General features: G+C 54.6%; 1 protein-coding gene across 10 annotated transcripts in view, besides 4 other annotated features; it reads right to left on the bottom strand.

Annotated features, from left to right (window-relative positions):
- The window catches only part of COQ8A (coenzyme Q8A), a 47,251-nt gene that overhangs the window by 1,703 nt on the left and 25,176 nt on the right, over nucleotides 1–20,372 (bottom strand). For all 10 annotated transcript variants that reach the window (XM_047425745.1, XM_047425732.1, XM_024448517.2 and 7 more), the window contains 11 exons: nucleotides 20,105–20,171; nucleotides 8,319–8,393; nucleotides 3,693–3,815; nucleotides 3,079–3,164; nucleotides 2,808–2,948; nucleotides 2,209–2,290; nucleotides 1,988–2,081; nucleotides 1,607–1,748; nucleotides 1,187–1,294; nucleotides 901–966; nucleotides 502–588 (listed from right to left, as the gene is read on the bottom strand). In XM_047425745.1, coding sequence (XP_047281701.1) covers nucleotides 502–588; nucleotides 901–966; nucleotides 1,187–1,294; nucleotides 1,607–1,748; nucleotides 1,988–2,081; nucleotides 2,209–2,290; nucleotides 2,808–2,948; nucleotides 3,079–3,164; nucleotides 3,693–3,815; nucleotides 8,319–8,393; nucleotides 20,105–20,171 — 1,071 coding nt within the window. The remainder of the gene's footprint in view (nucleotides 1–501; nucleotides 589–900; nucleotides 967–1,186; nucleotides 1,295–1,606; nucleotides 1,749–1,987; nucleotides 2,082–2,208; nucleotides 2,291–2,807; nucleotides 2,949–3,078; nucleotides 3,165–3,692; nucleotides 3,816–8,318; nucleotides 8,394–20,104; nucleotides 20,172–20,372) is intronic.
- Nucleotides 1,118–1,296: a silencer, noted in NCBI's record as "fragment chr1:227172247-227172425 (GRCh37/hg19 assembly coordinates)". NCBI's record gives its function as "represses an EF-1alpha promoter that drives an FKBP-Casp9 reporter gene in an ReSE screen in K562 erythroleukemia cells {active_cell/tissue: K562}" and the evidence as "EXISTENCE:reporter gene assay evidence [ECO:0000049][PMID:32094911]".
- Nucleotides 6,449–7,197: an enhancer, noted in NCBI's record as "H3K4me1 hESC enhancer chr1:227166346-227167094 (GRCh37/hg19 assembly coordinates)". NCBI's record gives its function as "activates a minimal SCP1, AML or CMV promoter by ChIP-STARR-seq in naive H9 embryonic stem cells {active_cell/tissue: H9 hESC(naive)}" and the evidence as "EXISTENCE:reporter gene assay evidence [ECO:0000049][PMID:30033119]".
- Nucleotides 11,401–12,014: an enhancer, noted in NCBI's record as "H3K4me1 hESC enhancer chr1:227161529-227162142 (GRCh37/hg19 assembly coordinates)". NCBI's record gives its function as "activates a minimal SCP1, AML or CMV promoter by ChIP-STARR-seq in naive H9 embryonic stem cells {active_cell/tissue: H9 hESC(naive)}" and the evidence as "EXISTENCE:reporter gene assay evidence [ECO:0000049][PMID:30033119]".
- Nucleotides 13,808–14,008: a silencer, noted in NCBI's record as "peak738 fragment used in MPRA reporter construct". NCBI's record gives its function as "represses an SCP1 promoter by STARR-seq MPRAs in K562 erythroleukemia cells {active_cell/tissue: K562}" and the evidence as "EXISTENCE:reporter gene assay evidence [ECO:0000049][PMID:32103011]".

The raw sequence follows: 20,372 nt of genomic DNA, 5'->3' as shown, positions 1-20,372 counted from the left end.
CCTATGAGACGGCAGACCCAAGGCTTGACCTGGATTTCTTTAACTCCTTCCCCACTGTCAAGCAGCAAGCGGAAAATGCCACTTTGTGGGTGGCTTCAGGCGGCACCAGCACAGACCGTTCCCCTTTATTTAAAAGGCTTCTAAGGTTTCTTCCAACTCCCCCCAGGGAGGCTCGATGAGGGGAGGGCTGGGGCTTCCCTTCCCACTTGCTCTGCACGTTGGCTCAATCGAGGCCCAACCCCAAGCCCTAAGTGGGCAAGAGTGAGAGGCAGAAACAAGAGCTTCACGACAAGTCCCCAACTCACTGGCCCACTCGGAAAATCTCACGCTCAGCAGGGCAGCATGGGCCGGGGTGGGCCCCAGCTTTCAGACCGTGCCCAAGGAGGCCCGGGCTCTGGGGGCCCCTTGAGGGCAGCTGCCCCCTGTGCTTTCATCCATTCTTACACAGGGAGCCGGGCCCTGGGTCAGCAGGCCCAGGGGATCCCCCGCAACCCTGCTCACCTTGACCTCGTAGCCGGTGAGGAACTTCATCTCTATGGATTTCGCCCGCACAGTCTCCCTGTCCCTGTCGGCAGCAGCCCTGATGATCTGGGGAGAGGCACAGGAGGGGACCGTGGGCAGCATGAAAAGCTCAGCTCCCGACATCCCAGGGAGCCAAGTGCCACACCCGAGCCCACCCCACCCTCATCCTCTCCCTGCACAGGGCCCCCGGCCAGTGCTGTGACACCACGCCTGGCAGCTGTCAGCCTAACTGCCTGCTGTCACCAGACCTGAGGGGCAGGCAGCGCAGATGGGGACACAAGGGCAGGAACCCAGTCATTCTCCCTACCCCGAGTCCCCCAGCATCCTGTCCCAGCCTCAGAAAAACATGGACCAAGGCCAGGGCCCCTCTCCAGTTACCTGAATGTAGAGGTCGGTGAAGGATCTGTCATATTCCCGCGTTGCCCCAAAATCCAAAAGAGCCACCTGGGGACAGAGACACCAGGAGAAGTTTGGCCCTGGTGCTCCATGGTGCGGGTGTGTGGGGCCGGGAAGGGGGTGCAACAGAGGGCAGTGAGGATCCCCACTCCCAGAGCCCTGAGCTCTCTGCTGACTTTCCCAGGACAAGGGGCAGTCCAGGGCCTCACGTGCCCCATTCGGAGAAGCTCTCAGGCCTGGCTGCGGGTGCCCCCACCCTGGGGCTCACCTTGTGCTGCTGGGGGTCATAGAAGAAGTTGGACCAGTTGGGGTCTGTTTGCATGAAGTGGAACTCGAACAGCTCCCTCAGGCACAGAACCAGGATGTTGTAGCAGATCTGTGGACAGCGCGAAGGGTCTGTGTCAGGCAGCACCACACTGCCTGGTGCCCTGGGAGACTGGGGCCAGAGAAGCCCCTGCCTCCTGTTTTACCCACCCTACCCTAGGGACTGTTTGATTCCCAGTGTTACTTGGGCCAGGGAAGGCAGCAGCTCCCCTGTGTCCCCCTAAGTCCCACTGGTGCTACTTCACTGCCCCTCACCCCCAGGGAGCACCTCAGGGCTCCAAGTCCCCAGCTCACACTATTAGGTCACCAAACAGCCACACAGCAGGGCCACCCTGGCCCCACCTGTCTGCTGGCACAGACAAACCTCGTTCCGAATCTCCTGGCTGAGCCCTTCGGCCTGGTCCAGGGGGAAGCCAGACACCAGCTCTGTGGTCAGCACATGTGGGCTGCAGAGCTCATCCACAATCTCAGGCACATAGAAGAAGGGGTGGCCCTTCAGCAGGTCCCTGGGTAGGGGAGGGAGGTCACGCCCTAGCCACAGGCCCTCCACACCGTCCCCCCCCCCACACACACCCCCCAACCAGGCAGAGGGCCCTCCTTCACCCCAGGCAGGATATGGCCTCGGCCCAGGCTGCAACCCCAGCCCTCTGCCCCTCAGAGCTGGAGGGGCCTTCACCAGCTGCTGAACATGGTCCCTTCTGCCTCCCTGGTGCAAACACGCAAGGGGCCCGGCCGGGGGCCACACCTGAACTTGCGGGCACAGGCGGCCTCTCGCTGGTAGTCACACTCCAGGGCCAGCTCCCGCCTCAGCACGTCGATCAGGTGCTCGGGGAACAGGCCTGGGCCAGGGAGGAGGGCATCAGCGAGGAAGGGGGCTCTGCAGGGAGGACCCCCTCTGGTCCCCAGAACCCAACACAGATGCCTGCCACCCACTCCTGCCCTTGACCCAACCACCTAGCCTCAGACCTTCTGGAAGCATGTTGCTCATGTTCAACACGGCCATGAGGTTGTTGACATCACTGTTGATGCTCTGGGCCACGCCAGGGTACTGTGGGGGTATGGGTGAGGCAGGGGAGTTAGCCCAGGGAGACGGGTGGGCCCTGCCTGGGGCACTCCCCCAACCCCCAACTGGCTTCCCAGCTGTGTCCTGGCCCCAGCCCACACCCTGGAGAACCAGAGCTAAGACCCAGCCATGCTGCCGTGACCTGGACCCCATCACAGCCTCGTTGTCCACCTACTCCTGCCTCACCTCACCCCTGGGAACAGCTCACGGCCACCCTCCCACCAGCTCTGGCCCCAAAAAGCAATCACTTGTCCCCTGTCCTTGCCCACCCCAAATCAAGCTTGCTGGGGGCCCCTCTGTGCCCCCAAAGTCACTCATTTAGCAAATACTTCCCAAGCTTCTGGTGCCGTCCAGGCACTGGGGCCAGAAGACACCACATATGGCCCTGCCAGGAGAGAGGGTGCCCTGCGGGACGTGGGGTGTAGAGGCCTCCATGAGCCAGGCCCCAGCTCTGCCCCTTGCAGCCCCCATAGGGACAGGCACTGCGCATCAGGCCGCCTACCTGGATCTTCATGGCCACCTCGCGGCCGCCCTTCATTCGGGCCAAGTGCACCTGCCCAATGGATGCGGCGGCGAAGGGCCGCTCCTCGAAGTATTCCAACTTGTCCCGCCAGTTGGGGCCCAGGTCGTTGTTGAGAGTTTTCTGAAGGGCAGGGCCAGGGAGGGGCTCTGAGCATGCCCTGCCTGGGCCACCGGGAGAAGCCCCAAGTCTGTCCCCTCCACCCAGTGGGGGCCGAGGCCACAGAGAGTGGGCAGAGCCCCTGGCTCCTCACCATCATCTGCTTCAGTGGCATGAAGTCCGCGCTCTGCCGCACCCGCTCGAAGATCTTAGCCAGGTGGGGGTTGATAAAGGCATCATCTGGAAGGCAGGAGAATGACACAGGGCGAACCTGGGGATTAAAGTGTGCGCCCAGGACCTGGGCGGGCACACTCCTGGGATGCCCTGGCCACCACACCCTCCCCACCAGGAGCACGGGTGAGGCCAGAAAGACAGGAGCCCTCGCACACACGCCCTCGGCCACTCAGCTTCCCGGGAGCCCCAGCCTCCGCCCAGTGACCTGAGAAGGTGGGCTTTTTACACTCAACATGCAGAGTTTTTCATAATTACAAAAGAAATTTGGAAAATAAAACATAGTAAAATGTTGAAATGACCTGTGTTCTGACCACCTGTAGAGAGCAATTTTTCCTCTCTGCTCTTTATTCCATGTGTTTCTTTGGACCCAGAGCCACCCGTCTGGAGACCAGGCCTATTATCTTCTAAGATCTCTCCCCAGCCTGCTCACATCTTGCCCACTGAGCTTTGGTGGGGCCACTGCTCCCGGCCCTGGAAGTTGACCCCCCCAGCAGCCCACGCAGTCCCGGGGCAGCAGCCCCCGCGCCCACTCACCCTGGATGCTCAGCATCTGGCCCAGCTTGAGTGCCGCACCACGCACCTTGCAGAGCGTGCGCACGATCCGCTCTGCATTGGCCTCGGACAGGAAAGGACTGGAACCCAGCACGGCCTTCTTCCCTGTGGGCGGGCAAGAGGGGTCACCACGGCACTCGGGGGGGTCTGGGAGTGGGATGGCAAGCCCCACCTGATACAGACGGAGGCTCAGACAATGTCCTTCCTCCCAGGCGTCCATAAAACCAGCAACATAACTAACTACTGTTCCATGTCCACCTCCCCAAGCCTGTGTGAGCCACATGCCCAGGCCCTACGCCAGCGCCTCCCAATACACACAGGCATGCACACGTACATATGTGCACACACAAACGCACACACACAAAGGGCCTCTCCCTTCCATATGGGGACCTGGCGGGCCGTGACAGGGCCATGGTGCTGCCTGTGGCTGGAAGGGGCGTGGGAGTGGGAACCAAGAGGGATGTAGGGACCCAGAGGACCCCAGGTGAGGAGGTGCCGAGCCTTTGCCCTGTGCACCCCCACCCAGGGCACTGCACAAAGGCCCGCTGCACCTGTGGGGTCGGCATGCATTTGCACATGGGGCCAAGTGGCTTCAGCCAGAGGGCTGTCCTCAAGGGAACGGCGCTCAGGCCAAGGGCAGCACAGCCCAGGGGTGCCCGTCTCTCCCGTCCACCCACAGAGGCCCCCTGCAGCTCAGTGCAGCCAGCTGGCCAGTGATGAGCATGCAGTGACCCCAAGGGTGCAGGTGGCCTTTTTCCAGTCCACCAAGGGGAGGGCTGAGGGCCGCGACTCAGGAGCAGCAGAAGGCCGGCTAAGTCAACTGCCAGCAGGCGTGTGGCCCAGGGCTGCTGGGTCCTCTCTAGCTTCCCCCCTATCCTGGGCCATCAGTTCAGTGCTGCCTAGACATGGAGGTGCCCCTATCCAGAGGCAGACAGAGGCCTGAGCAGGGATCTGGGGCTCCAAGTCTTTCCACCTTCCCTGAGTTCCTCAGCACCCCTTGTCGCCGGGCCTCCAGCCCTTGTGACATTCGGAGCTTCTCCTGCCTTCTGTCCTGTGAATCTAGTTAGATCTCAAGCCCCAAGAGGTCGCAGTGCGGCTTCCTCCTCTCTGGCCCCCACAGCACCCAGCATTTGCCTCAGTTCAAATCACTTCAGGCCTGGCACAGCGCTCGGGTGGCACGGAGCCAGGTCCCCAGCAGGGGAAGAGAGAGGTGACCGTGCCACTGCCCTCTGCCCCGGAGCCGGGTGCAGCCTGGCCCCTGAGAAACCAGGGTGGGGCGGGCCGCCCTGAGAATGGAGGCCCTGCGGGCCCGGAAGAGGAGCCTCGGAGAAGACCCGCATCTGCCCACACATGCAGGCAGCTACGTGGAAAGGGGCCAGGCTCACTCCAGGGTCCCAGACAGCAGGAAGGGACCTGTGAAGGTGGGAGATGTTAGCTCTGCGGGAAGAGGCTGAGCTGCCCTGGGAGGCTGAGCTATGACCCATGGGCAGAGCGAGTCCAAGAGGGCTGGGCCCAGAAGGGTCCCTCGGCCACCCCCTTGCCTTAGGCAGCAGCAGACGCCAGCACCAAAGGAAAGGCAGTCAATGTCCCCTCTGCCCCCTAGGCCTGTGGTACTTGTGGGCTGGGGGCTTGGGCCTGGGTCCCTGGGGAGGGGCAGGCAGAGAGGCAAACCTTGAGGAGAGGCCACTGCCCCAGGCCAGAGGAGGGACAGTCTGTCTCCTCATGACACACAGAGTAGGCCTAGGCTAGCAGCAGCACTCCTGAGAGATGGGAACGGTGCCTGGCCCAATCCGGGCTTTCCCAGGTAGCCCATTGGCAAAGCTGGTCAATGCCACAGGCTGGAGGTATGTCCCCCACCCAGGCAGGGCTGGCTGTGAGAATGACCTGGCAAGTGGGGATGGGCCCAGGGCTACGGCAGTGTGCCCCCAGCTCAGGAAAGGTCCTTCCAGGGCAGAGCTCAGCCAGGGTGGCCGGTGTCCTCCAGTCCAGAGGGTGCCAGGGCCTGGTCAGGAAGCTGGAGCACAGTTTGGGGCTGCCCAGGGCCACCCCACTCCAGCCTAAGCCTCGGGTCCCCCTCTCAGGGCTAACAATGCCTGGGCCCCTTAACCCCCAGCCTGGGGTCACCACTGTCCCTGACAAAGGACACTAGCTGTAACTGTGAAGCCAGCCTGGCCTCTTCCCTGCTTGGATGAGGTAGTCTGGAGAACAGCCAGCTTTGGAGAGGACAGTAGGGGACAGTAGGGGAAGGCTGGCTTCTCCTTCCAGAGAAACCCAGGCTTCATTTCCCAGAGAGTGTCAGCACCAACGCTAAAAATACCCTTGCTAAGCCCTCCGTCCTCAGCCCCTTCCAAGGACGTGCATGCCGCCCGTGTCCCCAGGACTCAGTCCGGGCCTGTGGGATGGACTAGTGCCCTTGCCCCAGAAGGCAGCGTTGGTGGGTGAAGGGGGGCTGTCCGGGGACTGGCAGGGCCCCCAAAGGAGGCTAGCCCAGGCTGGAAGACAGGGCTGTGAGGGCTGCAGTGTGGCCAGACACTGGGTGTCTCTGGGGGTCCCCATGGACGGGGGTGGAAGGGCGTGATACCAGAATGAGCTGACATTCCCTGAATGGGCCGGGGCCAGGGGACTTGGCCCAGAACTCCAGAGGCATTGAGGAAGATCCACACGCAGACGGTTCCCTTGGCACTGCTCTCCACACCCCAGGCCCCACTAACAGGAAAGCCCCTGCTGGGCTGACCTCGCACCTACCTGGCCCGCCCCCCGTGCCTGAAGAGGCCTGAGGAGGAGCCCGGCCTGGTGTTCACAGGCAGAAGGCGGCAGGGACTCAGTGCGCCCCACTCCTCATCACAGCAGCACGAATGCCCAAAGCCTCAGCGTGGTCCGTTCGCAGGACCTCTCCACAGAGGGCCCGGCCACAGCGGGCCACCAACCTCAGTGGGATGAGTGTCCTGACCTGACCACCTGCCTGACCCTGGCTGTGACCTTCACGTCAGAGGTGAGGTGCCTCTGCATAGACTACAGCCTCCCCAGGTTACTAAGCTGGTGAGGAGAAGCCTGCAGGGTCTGCCTGCACACCTCGCCTGTCCCCAGCCACACCTGACCCGGCCAGACCAGCGACTTCCAGAGAGCAGGGCAGCAGCAAAAGGTGGGTTTACAAGGAGGTGTGCGGGTGTGTGGAGGGTAAGGTGTGTGGGTGTGTGGTGGGTGTGTGGAGGGGTAAGGAGGTGCAGTGTTCAGTGGGTGATTGGTGGGTGTGTGGAGGGTGTGTAAGGTGGTGTGCAGGTATGAGGTGGGTGTGTAAGGAGGTGTGTGCATGGAGGGTGTGTAAGGAGCTGTGCGGGTGAGAGGTGGGTGTGTACGGAGGTATGCGGGTGTGAGGTGGGTGTGTAAGGAGGTGTGCAGGTATGAGGTGGGTGTGTGGAAGATGTAAGGAGGTGTGCAGGTGTGTGGAGGGTGTGTAAGGAGGTGGGCAGGTGTGTGGAGGGTAAGGAGGTGGGCGGGTGTGTGGAGTGTAAGGTGGGCGGGTGTGTAGAGGGTAGAGTGTGTGGAGAGTGTGTAAGGTGGTGTGTGGCTGTGGGGGGTGTGTGGAGGGTAAGGAGGTGCAGTGTTCAGTGGGTGTTCGGTGGGTGTGTGGAGGATGTGTAAGGAGGTGTGCAGGTATTTGGTGGGTGTGGAGGGTGTGTAAGGAGGTGTGTGGGTGAGAGGTGGGTGTGTGGAGGGTGTGCAAGGTGTGCGGGTGTTTGGAGGGTATGTGGAGGGTGTGTAAGGAGGTGTTCGGGTGGGTGGAGGGTGGGTGGAGGATAAAGAGGTGTGCAGGTGTGTGGTGGGTGGGTGGAGGGTGTGTAAGGAGGTGTGCGGGTGTTCAGTGGGTGCGGAGGCTGTGTAAGCAGGTGTGTGTGGTGGGTGTGTAGAGGGTGTGTAAGGAGGTGTGCAGGTATGAGGTGGGTGTGTGGAGGATGTAAAAAGGTGCGTGGGTGTGTGGAGGGTAAGATGTGTGGGTGTTTGGTGGGTGTGCAGGGGGTGTGTGACGTGTGCGGGTGTTCGGTGGGTGTGCAGGGGTAAGGTGTGCGGGTGTTCGGTGGGTGTGCAAGGGGTGTGTAAGGTCTGTGGGTGTTCGGTGGGTGTGCAGGAGGTATAAGGAGGTGTGTGGGTGTTCAGTGGGTGTGCAAGGGGTATGTAAGGTGCGGGTGTTTGGTGGGTGGGCAAGGGGTGTGTAAGGTGTGCGCGTGTTCGCTGGGTGTGGAAGGGGTAAGGTCTGCGGGTGTTCGGTGGGTGTGCAGGGGTTGTGTGTGGGTGTTCAGTGGGTGTGCAGGGGGTGTGTAAGGTGTCCAGGTGTGCAGAAGGCGTGTGGATGTGCAGGCAGCCAAAAAGAAGGGGCTGGGTGGCCACTTTGGGCTGGGAGGAGGAAGGGCCTCCAGCCTCACCCCCTCTAAAGCAGGTCAATCTGTCTGTATGAACAGCCTCATCACCCCAGGGACGCCACTTACGTGGAACCCCATGCAAATGCGGCCCAGCTGGCTGACACTCCCAGAGCACAGGTGGGGCTGGGGGCTGACAGGCTCAACCCTCCCGGGGCCCACCCTGCCCCTCCCACTGAAGGGCCCGGCTCACCTGAGGGGTCCTCGGAGCGCAGGCTCTTCTTGGCGACCTCTGCCAGTGCCCCGAAGCCCAGGCCCACGGCCAGACCTGCAAGGAGGAGGGGGCGGGCACTCAGTGCTCACGCAGGGCTGGGGCCACCCGCTCGCCCACCCACAAGGCCTGGGGCAGCACCACACAGACACCGCTTGCACCAGGGGCCCTCGCTGCCACACCAGCATTTTGAAAAGTGGGGAACAAGGTGGGAGATGCCACCTGTTGTTTTAAGAGAACATTTGGCTCGAGGTAGGTGTTTCAGTGAAAAAGATTCAGGAATCCCCCACTCCACACCATCACCTTTGATAATTCACAGGCTCACGGGCACACGGACACCCCAAAGTAATGCCAGCTGGGAAGCACCTGGGAAGGACCCAGCACAAATGGGAAGACGGACCAGGGATGGTCCACAGACCAACGTCACCCCGACCACACAGGGCACCCTGAGAACACAACCACCCGCTTCAGGTCTGTCTGAAGAGCCTCCCATCACCTAGACTTCCCTAATTCACTGGAACAGGAAAGGTGTTGCCACAGGCATACAAAGCACTTGGTGGTGAGAGTGAGAACACTTTTGGCTCCCCCTAATCCAAGCCAGGGGAACTCGCGGGGCTCAGGCGCAGCCCTCGCTGGGTAATGGAAGGCCCTCTCGCCCACCTTGCCCTTTCTGCGGGGCTGGCAAACACTGACATCTGAGGACCGTGGGGTGCCAGGCCTTCCCATTATCCTCTTTCACAATCTTCCGAATCAAGGTCCACTAACACCTCATTTATCCAAAAATCAGTCAATGAATGATCCCAGCTGCTCAAGAAAGCCACTCCCCACCCCTGCCCAGGAGCCCAGAAGGTGCCACTAATGCCACACCTCACCCAGGGCCAGTATTCTCTTCCTTTATACCCAGCTGTAGCTGGCTTTCCGGGTAGGCATGGGTGAGCAGAAAGAGGGTGAAGAGCACCTGGCTGGGCACGGTGACCATGGCCGGCAGGGCTGAGACCAGAGCGGCCGCACGATGAGCCGGCCTCGGAGAGCCCCGCACCCCGCACCCGGGCAACATCGCAGCCCCGCAGCCCCGCAGCCCCGAAGCCAGGCAACATCGCAGTCCCACAGCCCCGCAGTCCCACAGCCCCGCAGCCAGGCAACATCGCAGTCCCACAGCCCCGCAGTCCCGCAGCCCCGCAGCCCGGCAACATCGCAGTCCCACAGCCCCGCAGTCCCGCAGCCCTGCAGCCCCGCAGCCAGGCAACATCGCAGTCCCACAGCCCCGCAGTCCCACAGCCCCGCAGCCAGGCAACATCGCAGTCCCACAGCCCCGCAGTCCCGCAGCCCCGCAGCCAGGCAACATCGCAGTCCCACAGCCCCGCAGTCCCGCAGCCCCACAGCCAGGCAACATCGCAGTCCCACAGCCCCGCAGTCAGACAACATCGCAGCGCCACAGCCCCACTGCCCGGCAGCCAGGCAACATCGCAGCAGGGGGCTGTTGGGGGAGAGGGCTCACACCAGGACGCTCTGTTTAAGGCGCAAGGAAACTGGCATCTGCTTGCATGTTTCCAAATTCTCTACAGTGATTATGCATGACTTTTATGAAAAATACAGAACTTGTTGAAAATTTAATGAAAAGTACATTTTAAAACTAAAAAGAAGACAACTCAATTTTTAAAAAAATGTTTTTGCGATACATTTTTACCCACACCTGGGCAACAGTGCACCCTCCACGTCCCCAGCAGTCTGGGCAGCCCCTGCCTCACAGGCTGTCGTGCGGGCGTGAGTAGAGCACTCGCCGGGCCAGGAACACACAAAGGCCACACAAGCAGCTGCTGTTGTTCTCGTGACTCTATTCAAAAAGGCTGGGCCGGCGCAGAACAAAAGAAATAGAAGGCAAGCCACACATATAATTGTTACTTTTCTAGCAGCCACACTGAAAAAGGCAAGAAGAAACATGCAAAATGAATTCTAATAGTATAATTTACTTAATATACCCAAAATGTTATCATTTCAACAAGTAATCAAAATAAATATTATTAGAGATATTTTGCACTTGTGTGTGTGCACAAAGTCTCCAAACACCATGTGTGTTTTATACTCAGCACATCCCACTGTGGACCAGCCGCATTTCCAAGGCCCCGTGCGGCTGGCGGCTCCGTACTGGGCAGCATGGGGCAGGATAAGCTGAGCCTCCTGGCCCTCAGGAGTGACAACACACATGGTACAGATGTCTGCTGTGTTGGGATGGGGGTGCCTGGCAGGTACATCAGCTCTTTCTCTCGCTGTAGAAAGCCCTGGGCTCAGAGCTGGGAGACACAGTCCCCGTTTAAACATTAACTCCCTGATGCCTGCCCACCTCTGCCCTGCCAGCACTCGAGCACACGATCTGACTTAGCGAAATAAACGGAGACAGGCAACATTAGCCTGTGCACTGCAGTGACCTTCACCAATGTCTCTCTGTGTCTGGATTCTTCTCTGCCTGAAGCAAGTCCAGAGACAAGCCCACGAGAGGGGCAGGTGGATCCACAGGTTACCGGAGATGCCACAGCTGTAGGGTGGGCCACATTGAGCTCCTCCTTCTGCAGGCAGAGGTGTGTCCCCCTCATCACCCTCCATCAGGACCCCCCTCAAACTGTTCTCTGGCCACTTTCAGGCACACAGCTCTCCACTGGCAAGGACCTGTTATTAAACAAATGACCAAAAGAACATTCCACAGAGGAGGCCTCAGGCCCCACACGTCCCTCAGGACCGACCAGCCCAGTGCCAGGCCAAGGCGCTGCCCACTGACAGACAGGCAGGCTCCCCAGGGGACAGAAACCAGCCCAGCTGGCCAGCAACCCTGACCTTGGCCTCACGAGCTCCTGCACCAGTGAACCCAGAATAAACTGAGGCCCTCCCGCCCCAGACTCAGCGCATTGCTCAGGAACCCAGGCCAGCCTCTGCCCTCCATTAGAACCAGCCAGCACTGGAGGCAACTCCAGAAGATGAGCACCTCAGCCGGCACTCCCCGGGTCCTCGTGGGACCCCACTCGGCACCCCCACAGCCCTCAGGACACCTCACACCTCTCCCTGCTCAGATCCACATTCTAAGAGCGCCCCCGGCTTGGCCCACGTGGCCAGCAAGGTCGTCCTGGAGGAAAACCAGCCCCAGCACAAGCTCCAGGCTCTAAAGCCACTGTGAGCAGCCTTGCTTCCCTCCTGGCCTGTTCCAGGAAAGCTTCTGACATGTTTCTCCGAGAGAAGTTATGCAATGAAGGAATGACAGGGGAGGGAGGGGCAGGCTCTCCCCCAGGCAGGAACACAGGCTGCAGGCCAACCTCCTATGACTTCTGGAGCCCAGTCCCCCACAAGGCCCCATCCTCCCAAAAGTCCCTCTAGGAGGTCATCAGAGCCAAACAGGGCCCTCCTGTGGGCAGTCACTCGGCTTCTGCCCAGATGGACACCAGGAGGTTAAAAAAAGCAAAACATCAAACAACTTCCAACAAACAGGGCCCTTCCTAGCAGGCTGGGTGAAAAGTGCTTAAGGGCAGGGGTGAGTAAGTAAAGTTCCTTGGGGCTTTGGCTTTACCTGCCAGAAACTAGGCCTGTTTACAGAGAAGGGCTCGGGGGAGTTTCTCTACCAGCAAGGGGTAAAGATACAGCTAAACAGCAGCAAACTATAAACCAGGCGCTGCGCTAAGCCCAGCTTTTACTGAGGCATCCAACAATCCTCATCTAATAGACAAGAAATCCCCACAGAAAATGCAGCAGCCCAGGAGGCTTCCCTTTGCTTCAAGGTGTTCCTGAATCCCCAGTGTTCAGTCTTTCTCTATCACCACCTGGCATCCTCCAGCTGCCCCCAGCCTCAGGGGAGGACAGGGGGCCTGGGGAGGGGGCTGCAGCCCCCAGCATGGCAGGAAGGGGCACGGGAAGGCGAGAGGAGTTCCTAGCGGCTGCTCTCACAGGTTCTCAGGATCTGTCCCTCTGTTCCCAGAACTGGACTGGTGGGGGAAGGGAAGCCCTATAGCCCCTCTGGGGCCTAATTACAGAGCCTGGCCAGGCTCAGACTTCCACACACACCACAGAGGCCTGGGCTCTAGTCCCAGGGATGTCACAAATAACCATATGGCCCTGGGCCATATGCTTCTTCTTGGCTCAGCTTCCTCATCTGTAACAGGAGAGAATAAGAACCTCTCTCATCTCCAACACAGAGCTCCTGAAATACACAGAAAAGCCCCTTTCCAAGGAGGCTCCTGAGAAGGCAAAAAACTACACTCCCGCACCCCTGCTGAGGGTGCAGAACTCTTGGATCTAGAACACATCTATCCTGCTGCAAAGTGGACCCAGAAGAGCACTGGCACTGCAGGAAGCATGGCGTGTGCCCTCAGCAAATCAGGCTGGCGTCACTGCCTGCCACTTGTCGCTGGCCTTGTATGCAGCCCTGTCAACAAAGGGGCATCATGCCAGCAGGTTAGGGCACACAGTGCTGTTGCAGGGGGTCCTGAAGGTCCCAGCCAAAGGGTCCAACAGCATTGCTGCTGTGGGATGGCTCTCAAGGCCACAGCAAGCCACAGCCAGGTCTCGAACCGTGTCCAGAAACCAAGTGATACTGTGAGTCTTTCACAAAACTAAGTTATTCCATTTATTCTCCTCTGTCTTAAAGCACGTACTTTATACTTTTGCACTGTTAAAATGTCCTTTTGAAAAGATAAATAAAGTGATGGTATAAAGTGGTGCTTTGTTTTAAATGTCCTTACATGCAAAATTTTAAAAATAACCACCCCAAGCCCATTCACCCAATGTTTGTTTTAAATTTTACCACTGAGATGAGGGACACAAAAGTTTGGGGGGATGGGGCACAATGGTCCCAGAGAGAGCTTTGCTGCTGGTGTATTAACAGTATCCGAAGTGTACTGGCATCTTTGGGAAATTAAGCAACAAGAGCCAACAGCCTAAGCAATGCCTGTTTTCTAACATAAGAGAGTTACCTTACCTCTTAGGAAACCCAATAGAGTCTCATAAGCTATATTTAAAAGCAAAGTATTTTTCTGGGAGTAAGGGACCCCCAACCTTTTACCTTTTAAAAATAATAGGATACCCAAAGGTCCATTCCCTCTACTCTTCATTCCTGGCCCACTGACCTGCTTTTTCTCATATGAGCATCTCCTTGTTTTCACAGGTCAAATTTCAAAATCCTTTCTACACAGAATCAAATAATATTATTGCTTCCTCTTTCTTTACTTTTTGTTTCCTGTCTTCCTCTCTCCCCTTTTCCTCTCTCCCCTTCTGCCTTAATGATGTGGATTGTAAGTTCCTGTGTGAAGGCCCCAGGAACCACCACAGAGCTATGCACAAAGCAGTGCTCAACTCCTTCTGGCAAGTCTTCTCTAGTGCCTCCTCTATCCATTAAAGTCTCACTTCTGTAGGTGTCCATTTCTCAATGTATAGGTACAGAGGAGATAAGTCATCTCCTCTAAACCTGCAAGACTGAAGGATAAATGGAAAAAGGCATGGAAAATACAGAAAAGAGCAAAGGAGACACAGGGGACAGAGGGAAAAGATCTAACATATGTGTAATTGGAGTCCCAGAAAGAGAGGAGAGAATAGTACAGATACAGTATTTGAAGAAATGATCAAAATTTTCCAAAACTGATGGAAGCCACAGTTCAAGATGCTCTGTAAACCCCAAGCAGAATAAATACAAAGCAAACCACACTCAAGCATGTCACAGTCAAACTGCTAGAGAACAAAAACAAAAAGGAAATCGTAAAAGCAGCCAGAGAAAAGAAATAAGACATAACTTTCAAAGAAGCAGCAATATAACTGATAGCCACATTTTCAAAAAAACAATCAAAGTAAGAAAACAATAGAGGAATATTATTAAAGTGATCAAAGGAAACACATTTTCAACATCGAATATTCTACCCAGCAAAAATACCTTAAAAAAATAAAGTATGATGATATATTCTCTTTTTTCTTTTTTTTCTTTTTCTTTTTGAGATGGAGCTGTCATCCAGGCTGGAGTGCAACGCCGCCATCTTGGCTCACTGCAACCTCCACCTCCCCAGTTCAAGTGATTCTCCTGCCTCAGCCTCCCAAGTAGCTGGGATTACAGGTACCCACCACCACGCCCAGCTAACTTTTTGTACTTTTAGTAGAGATGGGGTTTCACCGTGTTAGCCAGGATCGTCTCGATCTCTTGACCTCATGATCCACCCACCCTGACCTCCCAAAGTGCTGGGATTACAGGCATGAGCCACCGTGCCCAGCTATAATGACATTTTCAAAAAAATAAAAACTAGGTCGGGTGTGGTGGCTCATGCCTGTAATCCCAGCACTTTGGGAGGCAGAGGTGGGTGGATCACCTGAGGTCAGGAGTTCGAGATCAGCCTGGCCAACATGGCAAAACCCCATCTCTGCTAAAAATACAAAAATTAGCTGGGTGTGGTGGCATGCACCTGTAATCCCAGCTACTCAGGAGGCTGAGGCAGGAGAATCACCTGAACCCGGGAGGCAGAGGTTGCAGTGAGTCGAGATCACGCCATTGCACTCCAGCCTGGGTGACAAGAGCAAAACTTCATCTCAAAAAATAAATCAATAAAAAATAAATAAAAACTAAAAGAATTCATGATTAACAGACTACACTGTAAGAGAGAGGAGAGTTCCTCAGAGAAAAAGAAAATTATACCAAATAAAATTATAGAAATGCAGGAAGAAAGAAACACAAAAAAGGGCAAATATGTGGGTAAATCTAAATTCATATGGGCTGTACAAAGAAATAATTCTTGTGGTGTTTAATATATCTTAATATCTAAAAAGTGTTCTAAGGTATTAGCATCATTGGAGAAGTAGTAAAAATAATCACTTATTTTTATATTGTAATAAGTCAAGATGCGTGCTGTAATCTCAAGAGTGATCACCAAAAGAACCGTAAAGGAATGTAAAACATAAGAGCTAACAAAGAGAGAACATGCACGGTCACGCATCATGTAACATTTCAGTCAACGGACTGCATATACGACAGTGATAGATTGTATCATATTTTTACTATACCTTTTCTATGTTTAGGTACACAAATACCGTTGTATTACAGTTATCTACTGTATTCAGTACAGTAACATGTTGTAAAGGTTTGTAGCCTAGGAGCAACAGGCTATGCCATACAGCCTAGGCATGTAGCAGGCTATACCATCTAGGTTTGTGTAAGTACACTCTATGATGTTCACACAATGATGAAACTGCCTAACGACACATTTCTCGGACTGAATCCTTGTTAAGACACACATGAGGGCCAGGTGCGGTGGCTCATGCCTTTAATCCCAGCACTTTGGAAGGTTGAGGCAGGTGGATCACTTGAGGCCAGGAGTTCAAGAACAGCCTGGCCAACATGGCAAAACCCTGTCTCCGCTAAAACTACAAAAATTAGCCGGGCATGGCAGCACACACCTGTAATTCCAGCTATTCGAGTGGCTGAGGCATGGGAATTGCCTGAGGTTGCTGTGAGCCGAGATCACGCCGCTGCACTCCAGCCTGGGTGACCGAGCGAGACTGTCTCCAAAAAAAAAGAGAGACGCATGACTATAATTTTAAGTCCTTGATTAATTTAAAAGAAGGCAAAACAGGTGAGAAAAAGGGGGACATAACAGACAGGTCAAATAGTAAACAAACAAAAACTAAGGTAGTAGATATAAACTCCAATACATCCACAATTGCATTTAAATGTAAATGGACTAAATATTCTCATTGTAAGATTATCAGTCTACACTTAAAACACACAAAAAACCAACTATATATGCTGCTCATAGATATGCATTAAACATAAGGACATTTTAAAAGTTGAAAGTACAGGGGAAAAAAAAAAGGTAACATGCAAACATTACCCAAAACAAAGCTGGAATGTAGCTATAGTAATATCAGACAATGAGGACTTTCACAGAGATGAAAAGAGGCATAACATAAGAATGAAGGGTCAATCCCTAGGAGGATATAAGAAGAATTCTAAATCTGGCCGGGCGCGGTGGCTCACGCCTGTAATCCTAGCACTTTAGGAGGCCGAGGCGGGCGGATCATGAGGTCAGGAGATCGAGACTTATCACGCACGTGTAGTCTCAGCTACTCGGGAGGCTGAGGCAGGAGAATCACTTGAACCCAGGAGGCAGAAGTTGCAGTGAGCCAAGATTGTGCCACTGCACTCCAGCCTGGGCGACAGAGCAAGACTCTGTCTCAAACAAAAAAAAAGAATTCTGAATCTGTAGGCAACAAATAACATAGCTTCAAACCATATAAAGCACAAGTCAATAGACTAAAAGTAGGTAAATCCACAATCATAGCAGACTTTTTAATGCCTCTCTCGATAGCTTATTGAATAAGCAAACCAAAATCACTTAAAAATCTGATCAATATGAATAATAAACCAGACTAGATAGACGGATCACTGCACTCAACATGAATTATTTTCAGGTAAACATGGAACATTTACCAAAATATTCCCATTTGGAATCAACGGCAAGACCCTTATTTTACAAAAGAGAAAACCACGGTAGAGCCCAAGGTCACACTGGAAGCACAGTTGTAATCAAAGGACAGCTATTATGATGAACTAAAGTTCAGTTCTGACCCCATATCCAATATATGACCCTTTCTTTCACACCACTCTTTAAGAAAATCTAATATCCACAGATCATCCTGCCCATAGCATCACAGTCATAATGTCCCATAGCCAAATTGGACTTAGGACTCATGCCCCGCCCCCATTTCAGCATCAAAATGAGCCCCTGGAATTGGAAAGTCCTTGACTTCCACTTCTATATAGCTGAATACCTACTGCCAACCTCGCTGAAAACCCGTCTGGGTCCCTGCAGCAGCCCTACCTCCCTGAGACCTAGAGCAATCCCTTTCCTTCATAACCCCGTGTAAAAACTTCCTAAAGTCTGTCAGTCTGCACCTGAAAAACACCTTTCCTCCATGAAGGGAAGAAAGGCTAGAGGTATTTTCTAGGAGAACAAAGCGCAACAGTGCAACTACAAACTGTTTGGATGATGACCCACCAGTAAGCTATATATTTCACATTGTAGTGAAGAACATACTTAAATAGTATGTATGTCTCTGAAACTAAAATATCTTGCCATGTGTATAGTTCATTGTAAGGATGTACGATATTAATTCTAATCTTTTCTATTGAATTCCATTCTGTTTAACTTGTTTTTTGAGACAGAGTCTCACTCTGTCGCCCCCACTGGAGTGCAGTGGCGCAATCTCAGCTCACTGCAACCTCTCCCTCCTGGGCTCAAGCAATTCTTGTGCCTCAGCCTCCCGAGTAGCTGGGATTACAGTCACATGCCACCACACCTAGCTAATTTTTGTATTTTTTTAGTAGGAATTGGGGTTTCACCATGTTGGCCAGGCTGGTCTCAAACTCCTGACCTCAGGTGATTCTCCCACCTCGGCCTCCCAAAGTGCTGAGATTACAGTTAACTTGTTTTTTATATGCTGATCCTGATGCATTAAATTAATTTCACAGTTACTAAAGGGTCATAACCTACAGTTTGAAAGGTTCAACTGGGTGAGCCAGAAGGCCCAGAATTCCCCACTAGGGCCAGAACGGCACGTTCTTTCCTGACCTGGCTTCTCTTTGCTCCCATCCTGCCATCTCCAAGCCTGAAACATCATCTGTCAATTGCTTGGGCAACAACATGAGCATCTCTGAATCATAGCTGTGGGCAATCCTCCAGCACACAGACACCCACAGATGGCTCCGTACATCAGGCAGGTGTCAGCAAAGGCTCCAGAGGCTTCTGATGCTACAAAGCACCCAAGACTAGGGCTTCAACTCCACTAACCCAGGCTCCCTCTGGCTACCCATAATCCCCCACCCTCTGAGGAGAGCTCTCTACCTTTTTCTTCCTACACATCTTCCTATATATAACCCCTTCCACATCAGTCTCTGTCTTCCTTAACCCGTCACCCAAAAGGGTCTGACTACTGCCTCCTTCGCCAGGACTTCGTGGTGCTCCACCAGATTCTAATTCACCATCAAGACTTTCATTCTGACCACTTTTCCCTAACAGCCTGCATTAGCTCTACCGCTTCTCCCCACCCCACAAAGACTCCGAAGTGAGGACTGCACCAGTCCTGAAACACGTCAAACTCAGCCTTCCAGGGACAGGCTCACCAAGAGTCTAGAGTGAAAGGAAGAGGGAGGGGACAGAGAAAAGGTACCGATGTGAAAACAGGGTAGCTCCTGCCCTCAATATCATGGGGAAAGAAGACAGCCTCCATTCAATATTTTAATAAGAAATAATACATGTTACCCAATGACAAGCCAATGTGCAAAGCAAGTAACATGCCAAGTCTTCCAGGGGATAAGGACCACTAGAGGCCACCAAGGCAGTGATTCTCAAACTCATTCTGACAGCAGAACTCAGGGAGGTGTGATATTCTATGAGGGACTGCTTGAAATGTTACCCCAGGAAAAGGAAATAAGCAAATACTCTTGGCTGTCACATAGATGACACTTCATACTAAATTCCTGAATGGCTAAGTACAGTGGATGCCAAATATTAAGGTAAAAATTATGAAAGAAAACCTTACTGCTGAGAAAATTCTATCCAGTTAACCAAGTCTGCTCAGCACCTTGGAGAGGGGGGCCAGCCATCATTCAATGTCAGAACCCACACACATTACGCAGCTCCCAGAATACCAGGCTCTCGGGGAGCACAGTACGTGAGCCTCTGCCCAGAACCAGTCTTGAACAAGTAGGATGGGGTTTCCAAAAGAGAATAGGCAGGAGCGGAGGAACAGCATGTATGATGGATGGTGTATGGGAGGAAAAACATAAACCAGCAAAGAGACAGGCAGACCCATGAGAGTGCATCTCCATGCCCCACCCAGCACCAGCACCATCATGGACCACTCAGACCTCTGCTGCCTACAGCCCTGGAACTAACCACTCACCCAAGGTCAGGGTCCAAATCAAGCCACCAAAACTGTGGCTTCCATTAATTATATCACCTGGAGAACCTACTGAGGACAGCTGAGTGTTAAAGAAATGCAATCCCAGTAACTAACTTAGAGTGTACCACAGCAAAGGAGATGGCACTTTAACAGGAACATCTGGGCCAGCGCATTAGCAGCAGCATGACAAACATGATGCCATCAAAGCAGACACAACTGCTATAAACCTTCACTATAAAATCACCCTTCAACTTCTATAAAAAGAGCGCATGTGTACTGGGCACAATGACAACTCAACCCCCCAAAGTACAGACAAACGGCTTTAAACAGCAGCAGCTGGAGGCCATGGCATCTTGTCACTCCACTCATGAGCCGCAGGCCTGTGGGGACCCAGCAAATGGGCTCCCTAAATGTCTGGTCCCAGGGGGAAAGAAAGCCCTGCTGAGTTGCTGAACAGCCCCAGGGAAGAGCTTTTCCTCACTGCCCAGCCTCCTTCCTGAGAGGCCTCCAAAGCAGCCGACTGGTAGTGAACCTGAGGCAGGGGTGAAACAGAGATGCTGCAGACACCGCCTCCAGGCGAGGCCTGCCGGGCAATCCAAACTCAGCTCCTGGCACAGCATCGGCCCTGTACCAACCCGCAGGGGAGAGCCAGGCAGAGCTGGAATCCAGTAACTGAATCATCCTCCCATGAAAAACTCCAGCTCCCCAAAAGCTCATGCAGGGGCGGCCACCGCCACCTGCTCCCCCAACGCCCTCCCCGGGATATTGCTGGGTCCCCACCTCCATGCAGGCCGCAGCGTGGTGCCCAGGCAGGGCAGGTGAGGCAGTCCAGGGGCACACAGCCACCTTACCTCCGAAGTTGGCCAGCCGGCCAATCCTCGTCACAGGCACCTTCCGCTCCCGGGCATGCTCGCTGAGCTGGAGGGAGACGAGAAAGAGACCTGTGGAATCAGCCAAGGGGACAGGACCAACCTTCAGAGGCTCCTGTTGCCCCCACATCTCCTCTCCACCCCACAGTCAGCAGCTCCGCCTGACAGCACACTCCACCAAGAGAAGGCCACCACGCTCCTAAAAACCCCAGACCACAGCACCCAGGAAAAGTCCCTAGAGCAGAGCCCA

Source organism: Homo sapiens, chromosome 1 (assembly GCF_000001405.40).
Source record: "Homo sapiens chromosome 1, GRCh38.p14 Primary Assembly".
Taxonomy (NCBI): domain Eukaryota; kingdom Metazoa; phylum Chordata; class Mammalia; order Primates; family Hominidae; genus Homo; species Homo sapiens.
Note: the sequence above shows the minus strand (reverse complement) of the source record. Positions and strands in the feature narration are given on the sequence as shown.